Here is an 18,149-nt window from a genome sequence, read left to right on the forward strand (position 1 = left end):
AATATTTTTATAAACATGGTGAATATGACTAAACCTTTGTTTCTATTATTACTATCCTTTCATGTCTACTTAGGGTTCAACAACTAAGGGAAATCACAGCCTTTATGGTAAAACTCATGCATTTTTTGTGTGACAGTTGTAACCAAATGCTGATTCACATGATATGTATTTAAACGTGTTGCTACGATTAACAGATAGTTGATGAATACTATTTAATTAATAAATCAGAAGCCTTATTTTGGAGTTTTAGAAAAATAAAAGTTAGAAAATGCATAGCTAGTTCCAGAAATAAAATACCTGTGAAATGATGATAAATAAAAATGCCTTCCACTTCCTTTCATTTCATTCTATAGTCTTGGTTCTATCTCTGAGTCTGGAATCTGCTCATTTGAAATTTTCCATTGTGATAAGGTGAGCAGGTCCTGGCTGCTCCACCTACTGGTGTTACTTGATAGAAATCATGAAACTTCTCTCAGCAACTGCTTCTTCATTGGAAACATAAGGAAACGCGTAGGCTCTACCTTACAGATCTCTGAGGAACTCAGCTAACAGGACACAAGTAAAGAAAGAACTGTAGCATGAGCACATGGTGACTGTTCAATAACTTTCTGAAAAAGTTGTTCTTATCTCCAAGACATATTACCCTGAATTTCTTTGATTTTAATTACCTTAACATGAAAGCTCTCATCACAAGCCACAACTTAGATTATACATCTAACAACTAGCACCAAAAACAAGCAAATCATTGGAAAATATCTCTGCAGAAAGGACTACATAATTAAAGAACAATCTGTGAAGATCTGTAGTTTTTTTTAAATTTTTTTTCAACTTGAAGGTGAAACTGTACATCTATGCTTTGCCAACTGACTACTTTCTGGGGCTGATTTGAGTCATGTGCACACACTGGTCCCCAGACACACAAAACAGAATCAAGGCCTTGGCTTACAGTGACATTGCATCTGTAAGAGCCATGTAAATACCTGCTACTTGGTATCTTCTACATCTTAGATATTTATTTTTATTCTAAAGCCAACCTACATATCCATAACTGCACAGCAACCATTTATACATCTCTATATTTGTGATTTTGATTTTTAGGCAACACTTACCATCTATTTTTTTTGCTATCAATCTCATCACAAAAGGTATAATCACATGTATTTTGTATATTGGAAAGTAAATTTACCAATATTAACTTTAGGTAGAAGATGTCAGAAAATCCTTTTAATATTATTTTTGACCTTTATTTTCACCAACAGCAATAGGTTAGTGTCCATTAAAAAGATGAGCTTTACAAAAGTGCAAGGTTTCAAAAATTATTTGAGAAGTCAGATCTCAGGGAAAATGCAGGAAAAGAAGGGATGGCCAGAGGTTCAGGAAGAGGGACACCCATTGGCCATGCCTTCAAGAAGTTCTTGTTCTGGTTTGCTGACATGAAAGCTATGTCAAGGAAACTGCCTTCTAGTGATGAAAAGATTCATTTAGACAATGGCATTTGTGACGGATTTGTCTTATGTTCAGCATGACCAGTGAGAAGCAGAGGGATTTGGGGAATGGTGGACAACAGGTGGGAAAAAGGGGGCAATTGAAGGAAAAGCTTTTAAGTGACTCCAATAAAGTATGTACCAAAAGATGGTCCTTTTGTCAGGAAAATGCTAATAAGGGATTACACTACAGACTCTCAATGGGAGTGTAAAGAGGAGTTGTGTGGGCAAATTTGGAGGGGGTTGTAGTCTAGAAAGCATATTCAAATACTTGCCATTTTTATAATACAGTTCAAAAATTGCAGAAATTAATGCAACTGCAATAAAAACATTACAAAAATATTTAGAGTGGTATTATTACTGAAAATAGAAATCTATAGATGATATAGGTTTAGCAGATTGAAAAATGCTGCCTTCATAAACAGTTTCTTCTGAATAGATGCCTTCTTATTTATACAATAGTTTTTAGCTATTCAATATATTTAACCTCCAAATCAGTGATCCTCAACCTTTTTGGTACCAGGGACCGGTTTCGTGGAAGACAATTTTTCCACAGGACAGGGCTGGCGGGGGAATGGTTTCAGGATAAAAGTGGTCCACCTCAGATCATCAGGCATTAGTTAGATTCTCATAAGGAGCACGCAACCTAGATCTCCTGCACGCACAGTTCATAATAGGGTTAGTGCTCCTATAAGAATCTAATGCTTACGCCGATCTGACAGGAGGTAGAGCTCCGGCGGTAATGCTCACTCACCTCCCATTGTGTGGCCTGGTTCCCAACAGGCCACAGACCAGTACCAGTCAGTGGCCCAGGGGTTGGGAACCCCTGCCCTATGAAGGCACTGATTGCTTTTAGGCATTTTGCTATTTCTATGAATTATGTATATTAGGCAATTTAATCACAGTTATAGCTAGGTGCATTCAACTCACCTGAGTATAGCATGAACTAACTCCACACACACACAGACACATGCACACACACACACACATACATACACACACAGAGAGACTTGCATACACATACAAATTATGAAGGACTCCATGTTTGTCCAGCAATAAAAGGCTTATTATTATTATCTGTTTCATTAACTTTTTATTTTCTATATGGACTTCCAAGAATTTCTGGTTCCCCGCTAGTGCCATCACCCCACAAGTCACCCCAACCTGCCAGACTAAATATGGGATCTTCTCTAAACCAATAAGGCTGAGATAATAAGAAGCAACAGCTTGCTTTATCCTCATTCTCTGAGAAGCTCAGCCTTCTGGGAAGAGATGAGTAGCCACCCCCTCTAATCGCAGAAGGTGTTGAATCTAGAATCTAGTTGTCCTTACAGAAAAATCAAGTGTCCAGATAAAGACTCCCTTACCTGTCTTCTTTGTAAATGTTCCCAATTTCTGGTAAATGCAGAGGGTTCCTCTTGGGCCTCTTTCATGGGTCCCAGGTAATATTGGTAAAATTAAGTATAAAATAAAACAAACACAGACAGATAATTTATATCTTACAGACCGTCACTGAAAGGACTACTAAAGGAAAGTTTTGTGTTCTAGCACTAGGGACTCTGACTAACCTTCCTCCTGAAAGCAAGTGCTCCATAAAATATAAAAACACATCCTCATAAATGCTTCAATAAATTGACAATAAAGAAGGCAAAAAGTTTAAGTGATGTGAGAAACCTAGAGAATAAGCAGCATACTGAATTTGGCTTTGGCTCTCAGGACATTCGCAAAATCCTAGTGACCTTAATCTTTCCTTTTACTGACCTTGTGGAGCTCATGGAGGGCAGAAGACAAGATCAGAGCCATTTGAGGGTAGGGGCAGACTGGGGATGGAGAATCTCAGAAGAGTTTCTCCAATAAAATTAGGTCCACAAAGGTTTCAGTTTAAGGGTGAACTAGAAATAAGCTTCTGTATCCCCAGTAGATCGCAAATAAAATTGTCTGGCTTGAAATTCAGTGATAAATAAGAGGTGATAAAAATTTCCTTTGAGAATTCCTAACTATAAACCAGATTCACACCAGTTTTTAGTCTGAACTCACAATATAGGATGATGTGAAAAATTTCAAGCCAAGAAGTTAGATTAAAATTGTAGGGAGAAGTATGTCTCTAGGACACTCGGGCAAAAGAAACACAAATACCTAAATACCTTCTAAAGAAACCCACCTTCACCCAAGGATTCAAAGAATTCCTCAGATAAAGATCCAAGCCCACAATTAAAAAAAAACACACAAAAAATCAGGAAATATGTCAACATGAGTGAGACCAAGAACCAATAGCAGATTTAAAGGAGGAAAGACTTCAGAAAAGACAAACACACAAAATACTCTAGTTAAAAGACAAACATTATCAGAGTGGATTTCAAAATAAATCCAACCATATGTTGTGTATAAGAAGCACACCTGAAACAAAAGAATACAGACAGGGTGAAAGTGAAAGACAGCCAACTGGAAGTCATCTCCACCCTCATTGTTCCCTGACTCCTATCATCTATCAGAGACATGATGACCCCTTGCTCTTTGTCTCTTTCCTTTGGTTATATTACAGTTTTCTTTTTTGCCTTCCTTAACAATCCCTTGGACTTTTCCAGTGGTCCTTCTTCCTCCTCAGACTTCTAAGCATTCCTCTAGCGAAGTGCTACGCTATTTGTTCTATTCCCTGGAGGGTCTCAAAGGGTGTCCCCTGACTACCTGCATTAAAATCATTTTGGCTATTTGTAAAAACAGAATTTCCTGGGCGATTAGCCAGACATTCTGATTTTTAGATTTGGGAAAGGATCTAAGAATTGCATTTTTAACAAGCTCCACCAGTAATTATTATATACTCCAAAGTTTGAAGACCTTTTTTTTATTGTAGTTTTTATTTTTCAGACAGGATCTCACTCTGTCACCCCGGCTAGAGTGCAGTGGTGTGATCTCAGCTCACTGCACCCTCCGCGTCCTGGGCTCAAGCAATCCTTCCACCTCAGCCTCCAGAGTAGCTGGTACTACAGGCATGTGCCACCACGCCCGGTTAACATTGTATTTTTAGTGGAGATAGAGTTTCACCATGTTGCCCAGACTGGCCTCGAATTCCTGGGCTCAAGCCATCCACCTGCCTCAGCCTCCCAAAGTGTTAGGATTACAGGTGTGAGCCACTGCACCCGGCTTGAAGATAATTTAATGTATTCTTTCTTTCAAAATATTCATGTTTTCATGTTTCATGGCTTTAATAGTTGTTAATACTTTATTTTAGTATTTTCCCCTGTCCTCTCATCTAAATTACAGTTCTGTACTTTAGGTGGCACTTCTAAGGTATTTGTCAACTTGATGTCAATTGGACCATCAATCACATTAGTTAAAATTAAGAAATTATGTATAGCTCATCCTTTCATTAATAAATCCAATTCATTACAACTCATATTCTTGTCCTGTAAAATATCCTTAAGTTCCTTTTGCTCTGTATTGCTGTCTCTTTAGTACGACCCTCATTACTTTATGTATGGATTTTTATAACTAGTTTTTCTATTCAAATGTTCTAGTCCTACAATCCATCTAGGACACTGCTGCCAGAATAATTTTCCTTAAATATCACTTTCACCATATCACACTGATGCTAAATATCTTCATATCATTCCTTAGTTCCTTAATAATCAAATTTAAACTTGCCTGTCATGTTTTTGAACTTCAGAATCCACTCCACTCAATGTGCCTTCCCATCATCCAGTAGTCCATACTCTCTACGTCAGACATGCTGCTCTCCTGCTGTCATGAATGCATGAAGCGAGTATGACAACAAAGCACAACTCATGGCAGGCAATCACAGAGTGACTTTTTTTTTTAATTTATATTTATGTTGTGCAGCTAGCTGTTTTTCCCCCATTCCTAAGTGAAAATTTAGGAAGCTCCTATGCCTTCCACAGCTGCCATCAACCAATTAAAATTCCTAGTTATTATCAGTGATGAAACAGTCTCAATTTAATACTGATATTAGAGGTGCTTGAACCAGAGTGACTCCATCTTGAATAGGGGCTGGGTAAAATGAGGCTGAGACCTATTGGGCTGCATTCCCAGGAGGTTAGGCATTCTTAGTCACAAGATGAGATAGGAGGTCAGCACAAGATACCAGTCACAAAGACTCTGCTGATAAACAGGATGCCATAAAGAAGCAGGCCAAAACCCACCAAGACCAAGAAGGCAATGAAAGCAACCTATGATCATCTTCTCTGCTCATTATATGCTAATTATAATGCATTAGCATGCTAAGAGGCACTCCCATCAGCTATGACAGTTTACAAATGCCATGGCCACATCAGGAAGTTACTCTATATAGTCTAAAAGGAAGAGAAATCCTCAATTTGGAGAATTTCCTGCCCCTTTCCCAGAAAACTCAGAAATAATCCATGCCTTGTTTGGCATATAATCAAGAAATAACCATAAAAATAGCCAACCAGCCACCCTCAGGGCTGCTCTGCCTATTTTATTCCTTTACTTTCTTAATAAACTTGCTTTCACTTTACTCTATGGACTTACCCTGAATTCATTCTTGCGTGAGGTCCAAGAACCCTCTCTTGGGGTCTAGACCAGGACCAGCATTCCAGTAACACTGTCACATACATAATGACATTTTGGTCAACAACGGCCCATGCACTTACGATGGTGGTCCCATAAGATTATAATGGAGCTAAAAAATTCCTGTTACTTAATAATGTCATAATAGTCCTAATGTCATAATGTAATGCATTACTCATCTGCTTGTGGTTATGATGTAAATATACCTACTGCACTGTCAGTTGTATAAAAGTATGGCACATGCTTATGTACATAAGTACATAATTAAGCATATGATACTTGATAATGATAATAAATGGCCATATTACTGGTTTATGTATTTATTATATCATACTTTTTATTATTTTAGAGTGCTTTTCTACTGATTGAAAAAAGAAGTTAATTGTAGAACAGCCACAGACAGGTCCTTCAGGAGATATTTCAGAATGCATTGCTATCATAGGAGATGACAGCTCCATGTGTGTTACTGGCTCTGAAGACCTTCCAGCGGACAAGATGTGGAGGTGGAAGACAGTGGTATTCATGCTCTTGACCCTGTGTAGGCCTAGGCTAATGTGTGCGTTTGTGTCTCATTTTTAATTAAAAAGTTTAAAAAGTTAAAAAAAATTAAAAACAAAGAAAAGCTTATACAATAAGGATACAAAGAAAGAAAATATGGTTGTACAACTATACAATGTGTTTGTCTTTCAAGCTAAGTGTTACTACAAAAAGTCAAAAACTTAAAAAAATTAAAGTTTATAAAGTTAAAAAATTATCATAAGCTGAGGTTAATTTATTTTTGAAGAAAAAATTTAAAGAAATTTGATGTAGCCTAAGTGTAGTATTTCTAAAGTCTACAGTAGTGTACAGTAATGTCCTACATCTTCACATTAATTCACCACTCACTGTCTCACCCAGAACACCTTCCAGTCCTGCGAGCTTTATTCATAATCAGTGCCCTATACAGGTGTACCATTTTAAATCTTTAATATTCCCTTTTTACTCTACCTTTACTATGTTTAGATATACAAATTCTTACCATAGTGAAACAGTTGCCTATAGTAGTCAATGCGGTAACATGCTGCATAGGTTTGTAGCCTAGGAGCAATAGGCTATACCATATAGCCTAGGTGTGTACTGGGCTATGCCATCTAGATTTATGTAAGTACACTTTATGATGTTCACACAACAACGAAATCACCAAATGATGCATGTCTCAGAATGTATCCCCATCTTTGAGCAATGCATGACTAAAATTAAATATAAAGGACCACATAATAATCCAAATTCTAAACTTACTTTTAAGTTTGGAGGAGCACAGGCTACAGGTCAGAAGTAGTTGGCTTCTCTCTTTCCTTATCTAGTAGTTGTTTTCTTCCTTCATCTTTTTGTTAAACTAAATCTCTGAATCATCCAGGATTAAAGCAAGGGAGAAGAGGAGGAGAGAGGCCCAGAAATGTTCTTTCTTGACAAGCGCTAGTAAAATAATCTAACATCAACGAACCTTTGGCCTGCGAAGTTGTTTAAAACTCACTTTCTCATATAGGTGCTTTCATGGCCTTTTTGGTGAATGCTTCTGACTCTGGCTTTTTTGGAGAAGGCTAACCTCTACTTGAAGTGCCTTAGCAGAGGTAAAAACATCTCTAAACTGTTCATTACTTCCTTGTCTGCTGAAAAGTTGACAGCACTCAGAATTTCTACCTCTGGACTATAGAGTCCTAATTAGGGAAAAGGAGCCAGGCTGGTGGGAGCAGGGAAAAGCAAAAAGAAAAAGCAGGTAAGCTATAAGTCTGCCTTTCTTCATAGTCCAGGACACGTAGCACTCTTGTGCAAATAATTCACAATCTTTCTGAGCCCAGCTATCACCAGACCCTTGGATGAGAGTAAAATGCAGGTTAGTTCACTGCAACCTTGGTGTTATCAGTACTGCACAAAGCCTTCTTTAGCACATCACACAAAATCCCCAGCAAGCTTTTGTCTCCTTACAGTCAGCTCCTTTCTTGCTGACCTGCCCATTGTACACTTGCAATGTATTTTCATACTTTCTTGAATAATCCTGCCTTTCTTTACCTACAAACTGTCTTGGTAAATTCTTCTTACTGCTCATGCCACTGGCCCCAGATGGTTGCTGATCACTTGCAGTATGGCCCTTTCTGGACAGGGCTTAAAAACAACTCTATACTAGCTCTCCCTCAAAAATGATCCATATTCAGAAGAAAAACTTAAATACTCTTTGCACCTACAAACTCCTGGAATGTAGTGTGTCTCCACTTAAGAAACTTCTCCTTTATTCTGTCAGTCTTTCCTTTCTTCAGATTTCTCAGGTGAGAATCAGACATGAGCCTACAGTTAGCCAGCAGACTGCAGGGAATACATAGTAAGTTCTCTGAGTAGCTGGTAAGGTGCTGGTACCCCATTCTGGTACCCACAAATCAACAGCAGCTCTCTCCAAATTATCAACATTTTATACCATTGACAAGGTGGATCTCCTTTGTAAATCTTGCATAAAGTCTCTGTGGAATGTAGAATTTGTATGTATCTTAGTTTCTCAGTCCAAACTTATATTTTAATTTCTCATTACAAATGCTTAATAATTTCTATCTTCATGTGTGTTGTTTTCCTCTCTGGAATCTATCTATTCTTTCCCAACTCGCTTATCCAAATCTGAGCTATCCTGCAAGGTTGTGCTCAAGTTCCATCTTATTTATGCTCTCTTGCCTGACTGTTTTAGATTTTCCAGCATTGTCTTTGGAAGCCCTACACTAGTTGCAGAAGTTACTATAATCAATACATAAAGTTTGCCCTTAGCATTTCTTTTTCATGAAAGAAATACAGGCACCTTCATGAGACAGTGACTCTGTGGCCTACAAACTTAATTGTACTTGAAATACAAAAATATCTTTGAAAAATGTGCTGATCCAAAAGGTGGCTTATAAGTTTAAGAAAAGTGGGACAAAGAGAGGCAAATGTTAGGCATGGACATCTAGGTTCATTAAATTTCTTTGAATGAACACTCATCACTTAGAAAAGAAGGGAAGTATTAGGATAAAGCTTGTTGTTCTATATTATATATGCTGAATATTTCAAACATTCACTTTTTTAAACATTTATATATAAACAGGAGCTAGAAAACCTATTTACTTGAATCTAACTTTTTTTTCAACTTTATTGAGTATAACTGACTAGTAATTGTATATTTGAATCCAACATGCTTAAATAAACTAAGCTCTCTATTAGAAGTTGAGGGGCTAGAAAACATGTAACTCCCATATTTGTTATTAATTGTTTACTATATATAAATATGCATATATGTAATATATGTGTGTATCATAATTCATGTTATTTATTAATAATAAATAATAAAATCATAAATAAAATGAATAACTCTCTTTGCCTATATATTGGTCAGAGTAAAATTTATGACACTATATTTTAATACTTTAAAGTACAGTGATTATTTAGCTCACATTTTTCATGACACTTGCAAATGGTAATTAACCACCAGTGCAGGGACAAACATTAACTTTAAAAAACGTCATTAATTAACTTACAGAGCACTGGTTATTTTCTATTTTAATGACTGCTTGGATTTATACATACCAATTATCATATATAATGTTTGTCTATGCTCTTCACCTTGTCACTTTTTATTTAAATAGAGGAAACTGTTGTAATCAAAAAATGTTTTGAACAGATGCAGTACTAAGTGAACTTAAAGATATATATATACGTACATAATCATGCTCTTCTACTAACTAAGCAATACTGACTTTCAGAATAAAATATCCTGGAAAATGGAATTTTTAACCAAGGTAGCAATTCATAATTAGAAAATAATCAGTAAATCATTACTAAAATTATAAGCCATGAAATAGTTAGCAACAAAAATAAGCACAAAATCATGACCTTCAACAGATACGGAGTTTAAAAGTGAGGTTCTCTCACAAACAGATACAAACCAAAAGCTACAGGATATCAATACCATTTTCTTCTTAGTTGTAGATATTTATGAAGTATCTCCTATATTCAGTTTGTGAGAATATAAAAACTTATTTACCAAATAGATTACACTGTGCTATTTATTTTGCACACAAATCTTAGCGACTAAGTAGTATTGGCTGAAAAAACTAGAATGGATTTGAAATTCTATCTCATATTGAGAATTTTAAAAAATTCTTAAGAAAAAAATGTACCTGTTTTGGAAAAGTCCACTGAGTTCTACTTACTCAATTGGAAAGAGTAAATAAAATTCAACAGATAATTTGGTGTTTAGGTAGTCTTATAAAGAAATTCCTGTCACAATGAGAGGTCATTTTTCTATCTTATTTAGTTGAATCAGTAGAACCTATATTTATCTTAGCTTCATCTTTAGTGTTTTTTTTTAAGTCATAATTATGAAACAAGCCTTGAAATGGAAGTGCAAGAAGTAAATTCAAGTGTCAGGTTTACTACTGTGTCTTTGAGTAAGTCACTAAGAATTTTAGAGTCTTCAGTCTCTTAATCTGCAAATGAACATAAAAATATTTGCCATGTTTATCCCATGTAATTAATGTAAGACTCAAATAGGCAATATTACATATGGAAAAGACACTGAAAACTATTATTATCTGAGACAGAGCAGCACAGGAACAGATCACAGGTTTAGAATGGGATTCAAGTCCAATGCCACCATCACCAACAGTGTACCTTTAGATAAGTCATCAAATCCCTTCCAGCCTCAATTTCTTCCTCCACTAAATGAGGCAGCTAATTTGTAAGGTTCTTTCCATCTTTATAAGTCTGTGATCTGGTACGAGAAACCTAATGAAGAAATTCTCTAACATGCTTTTGTTTCCTATGAAAGTAACGTACACTGATTAGGTGCTCATGATTAATTTTAGACTCTGTCTTGCAAATAAGAGAAAGTCATCATTTATTTGGCAGGAACAGGCTCACATCCCTTATGAAATGAGGTGTGGTATTAATTTATTAACTGTATACCAGAATGTTCAACGTTAAATGTAGGAAGGTGGCGTTTGTGAAGAATTACAAGAATCATTACATGGTATAAAATCTGAGCATAAAACTAACATTGGAAAAGAATCTGCCCTTGAAATACAGAAAACAAGTCTGTACTACATTACTTACAGTCTATGTTAAAATCACACACCCCATACAAACAAAAGATTACAACTAAACACTGAGGAACAGCTGCCCTTGTCTGGCAGTTTGATATCCTTTCAATTACTTGTTTTTCTGTAGTGCTAAACTTGGATTTTGTGTACACCACAACTAAACATAGAACAGACAAAGGCTAAGCCACATAAGCTTGTTGCTGTAAGTGCTACAAGAGCAGGGATTCTTGTCTGTTTTATTCACTGATGTATCCCAAACACCTAGAACACGGCCTGCTGCATCATAAGCACTGAATAAATATGTATTGAACAGATGAACTGGCTTCCATTTATTCCTTGAATAGATAAGCTACATTCTGTTTATGACTTTTATTGATTTGCATTTATATCATTAACATGCTTCTATAGAAAAAGAGATAAACCACAAGATTTAACCAATGGTTGCCTGAATAAAAGAGATAGTTTGGGATGAAAATAAATGACCAGCACAAAAGCTTGAAACCTGCCTGTTGCCTTAAAATGATCTGAATTCCTCAAACCTCAAACCTTGGCATTATGCATTATACCCAGGTAACTTCACCTGCACATGTATCCCCTGAATCTAAAATAAAAGTTGAAAAAAAAGTAGTTTCTTCCAGTGTAAAACTACAGAATAAATAGGACAAACCCCAAAGCTAAAGAACTGCTCTTTTAATGTTACTAAAGAGAGCACTTCAAACGATGGAGGAAGAAATCTACATATAATTCACAAAATGGGATTAAAAATACATGAAAAAAGAGCTATTAATAAATATGTCTCTTGTGTTTCTTCCCGTTAAAACTCAAAACAGTGTGGTCTGCCTTGTGCCCACATCAAAGAAAGCCAGTGAACTAAGAATAAGAGAAATGAAGGCTCAACTCAGTATCTCTCTCGTGGCGCCTAAACACATTTTACAAAAATGTTCTTTGAACCAGCAACAAACCCAGAAAACTAGAAACAGAACAGGAAGATAAACCCACAAGAGAAAACAACCATGACATCGCCACACCCCCTTCTAGTTTTCTCCAAAACATTTTTCATACCAGATGAACACAGTAAGTCAAACAGCTCTATTTTTAAATGCATGAGTCTTGGTTGTGGCATAATAGATCAATGAGAAATCTTTTGTCTTCAGGAAAACACAAGCCTATAACAGAAAGCATGTAAGTTTATAAAATAGCATGTCTGATAAAGAAAGCATCAAAATGAAAGAATGAATGAACCAGTGTGCAAATGAAATCTCTAAGAGAGAATTCTAGAGTAATTCAGGAAGAAGTAGCAATGTATAAATGGGCTCATCAATTCTCAATCTTCTTCTCATATGACATAACATCTCAACCTGCCTATATAAGAACTTAGGATAAAAAGGAAGAAGGAAAATTAAAAGGTGTTGAGACTAGCTTGAACAATTCCCATTGTCAAGGCCAGACAGGTATTCTGGAAGAGAATAGAAAAATCCAGAGACAAAGGGAGGTAACAAAAAGTAAAGTGCCAGCACAGGTAGGCTGGAGAGAAAGTCTAGGGAGAGTTTTGAGGAAACGTGGGGATAGGCCATAGAGTCACTTACCATGCTGTGATTCAGAAAGAGGATTTTAAATAAAGTTTTGCTCCATATATCAATGAAACTCCCATGAAATTTTTAAGAGGCTGTAGGAAGGATTTAAGTTACTTTTGCAATATTTCTAGATGTTATTTATTCATTTATTCCACAAATATATGATGGGGGCACTTTCTTAGGACTGTGTTTACACTGGCAGCCTCTGTAGAGATCGGCCATATGATGGGAGCAAGAAAGTCCAGCTTTATGTAGATTCCTGAAAGAAAATATCCAGAAGAGGAAGACTACAGTTGAGCCTTGAATAACATGGGTTTGAATTGCGTGAGTCCACTTATACACAGATAGTTTTCAATAACAGTTACAAGTATGCCTGCCTCTCCTGCCTGCCCTTTCCTCCGTCTCTACCACCTCCGACACCCACGAGACCGAAAGACCAACCCTTCTCCTTCCTCTTCCTCCTCGGCCATCTCAACATGAAGATGATGAGGATGAAGACCTTTACTTAATGAATAGTAAATATATTTTCTCTTCTTGATGATTTCCTTAATAATAACTTCCCATCTCTAGCTAACTTTATTGTAAGAATACAGTATATAATACATAAAACACACAAAAGATGTGTTAACCCACTATTTATGTTATGGGTAAGACTTCCAGTCAGTGATAGGCTATTAGCAGTTAAGTTTTGGGGGAGTCAGAAGTTATGCACAGATTTTTAACTATGTGGAGGGTTAGCATCTCTACCCTCTGCATTGTTCAAGAATCAACTGTATATTCTAATACTGCTTCTTGTTCTATTATTTGAGAACATCCTTGTATAGAAAATGTGTTACAGTCATTATGGAAAACAGTATGGAGGTTCCTTTAAAAGTTAAAAATAGAACTAAAATATGATCCAGAAAGTCTACTTCTGAGTATATATCCAAAGGAAAAAAAATCAGTATGTCAAAGATATATTTACACTAGTATGTTCATTGCAGCATTATTCACAATAGCCAAGATATAGAATCAACCAAAGGGTCCATCCATAGATAAATGGATAATGAAAATGTAGTATATATACACAATAGAGTACTATTAAGCCTTAAAACAGGACAGCCTATCATTTGTGACAATAATGGATGAACCTCAAGAACATTATGCTAAATAAATAAGCCAGGCACAGAAAGACAAATACTGCATGGTCTCACTTTTACATGTGGCATTTAGAAATACTGAACTCATAGAAACAGAGAGTAGAATGGTGGTTGCCAAGGGCTGGGGTAATTGGAGATGTTGCCCAAAGGTTACAAAGGTTCAGTTAGACAGGATGAGTAAGTTCTGAAGATCTACTTTATAGCATTAATAATAATGTATTAATAATAATATGTTCTATACTTGAAAATTACTAAGAGAGTAGGTCTTAAATATTCTCACCACAAAAAATTCTAAGTGTGAGAGGTGATGGTTATGTTAACCAGCTTGATTTAATCGCTTCACAATATACATACATCAAAACACCACCTTGTACGCCATAATTATATACAATGTGTTTTCAGTTGCTGTCAACCAACAGATGAACTTTCAGAACTCAACCATTCAACTTAGCAGCTGCCTGTTCACCGGACAACTTTTTCCCATAGCTAGTCACGATGCTTTTTCATTCTCTTCTAAAGGTTAAAGTAAAGCACTACCAGTCCTCATGAATTTCTCATGAGTTATGATTAAGTGCGACCAAATTCCAAGCACTATTTGACTGAGAAATGTCTTCAATCTAAATACACGGGTATCAAAACCGCCAACAATAAGAACCCAAGGCTATTTCCATATAAATTTGGTCTTTGCTTAAAAATAAAATTCCATGAAAGTTCCCTAAGATAATCACCCACACAGAGTGTTTTCCATGATTAACAATGGCATTTGTGCTATAGTCGCTGCCAGGAAGGGAAGCATGAGTCTGGCTTCGGCCAGGACAGCAAGAGAGATCTCCTCTAAAAACAGAATACAGTATAACTCATTCTTCCAGATCTTCCAGGGAAAACTGAATGACGAGTGTGTGAATGTCTTTTTAAAACAATCTGTTAAATGCTTTTAGATCCTGTGCCCTGATTACTGGCTGACCTATATATTTTTGGCAATGCTAGTGCCCTAGAGGGCCTGACAATTTGATAGGCAGTTAAGTCCTCAGTTAAGATGAATTTTGAAAAAGCTGAGATTAAACAGACTAATTTCCCGCAAAAGTATTTTCTTCTGATCTTTGAAATGTTAAAGGGGCCACATCAGTGTATTATTTTGAGCAAGGAAAGTTTTGCCTTACAAAGACTGCCAGTATAAACAACTAATCCCTGGCCAGTTGCACAAGCCAGACAAGGCACAGTTTCCAGGCAGAAGCAGCGGCTCTCTACCTAATGGGGCTGGGTGAGAGGGCACACTCACATAGCACATTAGATTTCCTGTGTAAATTATCATTTGTTTCTACCGTATATGGCTATTACAAAGCATGTTGTGAAGATCCAATAAGACAATGTACAGAAAATGTCTAGTGTAGCATCTGACATTATCATTACCATTACAATAGAAACACATTCTACCCACTGTTTGGATCAGGTGGAAAAATGCAAAAGAAAAAAATTCTTTTTTTTTTCTTTTTTTGCAGCCTCATTTTTGGACCAGAGTATCTCTAAGTATCTCAAAAGTATTGTAATGTCATATTATATTTTTGAAATGTTTTATTTTCTTATAATCAAATATTTAAACCAATATTTTGTTAGCAACAAGCTAATGAATAGAAAATGGAAGGTAACTTCTTAAATATTCATGATTTCTAAAAGACAGCTTGCCCACTGGGATTCTTTGGCAGATATGCAATTACCATTGTAGAGAACTAAAAGGAGCTTTAGGTATCATTTTTAAAACAAGGAAACTAAAACCCAAAGAGACTAAGGGAATGCCAGACCTAGTACAAAAAAAAAGGATCTACTTTGGACGCCTGTAAAAATGTCTTTGCACTAATCTTAGCTATTAATACATCCAAATGAGGCTCAGTCACCCTCGAGTCACCCTCAGATGGCATGATCATACAAATAAGGGGAAATTAACATTTGCAAGGTAAATACTGGCCAACCGTTTCTACATAAATTACTGTCTTTAGTTCTCTCACAAAAACTTTGCAACATAGATATTATCAGTGTTACTTTTTTGTTTTTTTTTTGGAGACAGGGTTTTGCTCTGTCACTCAGGCTGGAGGACAGTGGCCTGATCATAGCTTCATATCTCACTGCAGCCTCAAACTCCTGGCCTCGAGCCATCCTCCCACCTCAGCCTCCCAAGTAGCTGGGATTACAGGAGTCAGCCACAGAGCCCAGATAACAGTACTTTTTTTTTTCTTTTTTTTAGACGGAGTCTCTCTGTCACCCAGGCTGGAGGGCAGTGGCGTGATCTCAGCTCACTGCAACCTCGGTTTCCCAGGTACAAGGAATTCTCTGCCTCAGCCTCCTGAGAACCTGAGATTACAGGCGCCCACCACCACGTCCGGCTAATTTTTTTTTTTTTTAATAGAACCAGGGTTTCACCATCTTGGCCAGGCTAGTCTTGAACTCCTGACCTCTTGATCCACCCACCTCGGCCCCCCAAAGTGCTGGGATTACAGGTGTGAGCCACCGCACCCAGTCAACACCAATTTTAAGGTAAGGACAGTGAGGCCAATAAAGACCACAAGATCAGTAGTAGGCAAAGCTGGGACTCAGATCCAGGTCTAACCCACTACAAAGCCTCAGCCATTTTCAATATACTTCAGCATCTGCTAGAAGGTTAAGTGAGTCCTGCAACACCCCCATTATTGAAAAAAAGTCACTTTTTCTAATTTTCTGGCTGTTAAGTAGTTAAGCAGAAACTTTATAGCCAAAGGATGAAAACTGTTCCAAGATCACATACCTGTGGTGGAGTCAATGGTAAAAAGGGACGACACGTTTCCTGGAATAAGCTCATAAGCCACTGTCCCATATATCCCAGAGTCCTGGTCAGTGGCAAGAACATTGATGATCTCGGTGCCTGGCTGGGTCTCATCACTGATGCTCGTCACATAGGTTGATGGGTTAAACACAGGATGATTATCATTCACGTCCTCCAGGTCCACACGAACAAAGGCTTGGGCACTTAGCCCACCCTGGTGGATGAATGAGTGGTGATTACAAATGGGTTTTTGCTGAACACTAGGATGTAGAATAATTGACAATGGCCCTACAATAGTCTTGAAACAACAGAATTTGAATATGTGGGGGTTTGTATATGTATATGTGTGTATACACATATACACACACCCCCATACATACACATTTTGTCATTTCAAAAGAGTGTGTATATATACACACACACACAGACACACACACACACAAACACGTCTTTATATTCATTTTATTTTCAACTTTGATGTATGAATTCATAGGTAACAGCATGGTATGTACACTTCACTGCTGATTCTTAAGCATGGAATGAGATTTCCACTTAGAGCAGCTGTGAGGCAAAAATTTCAGAGTAGAGGCCAAATACATTCAAGGAAATTTGTCCTGATGTCCAAAAAGAAATCAAAATCACTTTTATCCCTAAGATAATTTTTAAGTGAATGCTGGTAAGTGCTAAGAAGAAGGTGTGAGGGAGCATGGGCAGGGGGGTGCCCTGGTGAAGCCTTCACTAGGAAGGTACCATTGGTGTGCAGACCAACCCACATGAGGCAGCTAGACTTCAGTTACCAGAAAGGAAAGAATAACAGGCAGAGGAAAGAGCAGAGCCAAAGGCCCTAAGGCAGGAACGTGGTGTACCTCTCAGGCCTGCTCAGCCGCAGCAAGGAAGCAGGAAGGGCTGAGCTCAGAGAGGCAGGAGTGAGTCCTAGGGACCTCTGCAGGTCTCTGGAAGGACATGGTTCTTCCTCACAGGAGGGCTTTGAGCACAAGAGTGGCCTGATTTCACTGAGATGTTAACACTGCTCTAGCTGCAGTGTTCAGAACAGACCGAAGAGCAGCAGGGTGGAAGGAGGGAGAACGGGCAGGAGGAGGCTCTTTGAATCAAGTCCAGAGTGGATGGGGCCTGAAGGAGGACAGGAGCAGTGCAGGTACTCATCCCAGATCCTGGGGGCCAGATTTGTTTGGGAATTCTGAATTTTTCAAGTTTTAGAAGGGAATGCAGCACCTAAAGTAGTGAGAAGTGGATCCCATACTGCTTTTTTGGTGTTGCCTCCATCTAAAATCAAGGAGAAAGAGAGCAAATGAAATAGAAGAAAATAATCCTCTGCAATTTTTACTTTTCTAAAGTAAAACACATGTTCCCACTTTAAAGCACCATTTTCTGTTTCTATCTGGTACATTTTGACACTTTCATCTTTGACAAAAATCCTTGGTAAGTCACAACAGCCTGGGTTTTCTCACTCATGTATCCTCCCCCTCTTCATCTTTTTTGTTTCCTTTTTCTACTCTGGC

At 37.4% G+C, this 18,149-nt stretch overlaps 1 protein-coding gene across 2 annotated transcripts in view; it reads right to left on the bottom strand.

Annotated features, from left to right (window-relative positions):
• DCHS2 (dachsous cadherin-related 2) overlaps positions 1 to 18,149 on the bottom strand; it is a 260,058-nt gene that overhangs the window by 117,857 nt on the left and 124,052 nt on the right. For both annotated transcript variants that reach the window (NM_001358235.2, NM_001142552.2), the window contains exon 3: positions 16,612 to 16,843. In NM_001358235.2, coding sequence (NP_001345164.1) covers positions 16,612 to 16,843 — 232 coding nt within the window. The remainder of the gene's footprint in view (positions 1 to 16,611; positions 16,844 to 18,149) is intronic.

This window comes from Homo sapiens, chromosome 4 (assembly GCF_000001405.40).
Source record: "Homo sapiens chromosome 4, GRCh38.p14 Primary Assembly".
NCBI classification, from domain to species: Eukaryota; Metazoa; Chordata; class Mammalia; order Primates; family Hominidae; genus Homo; species Homo sapiens.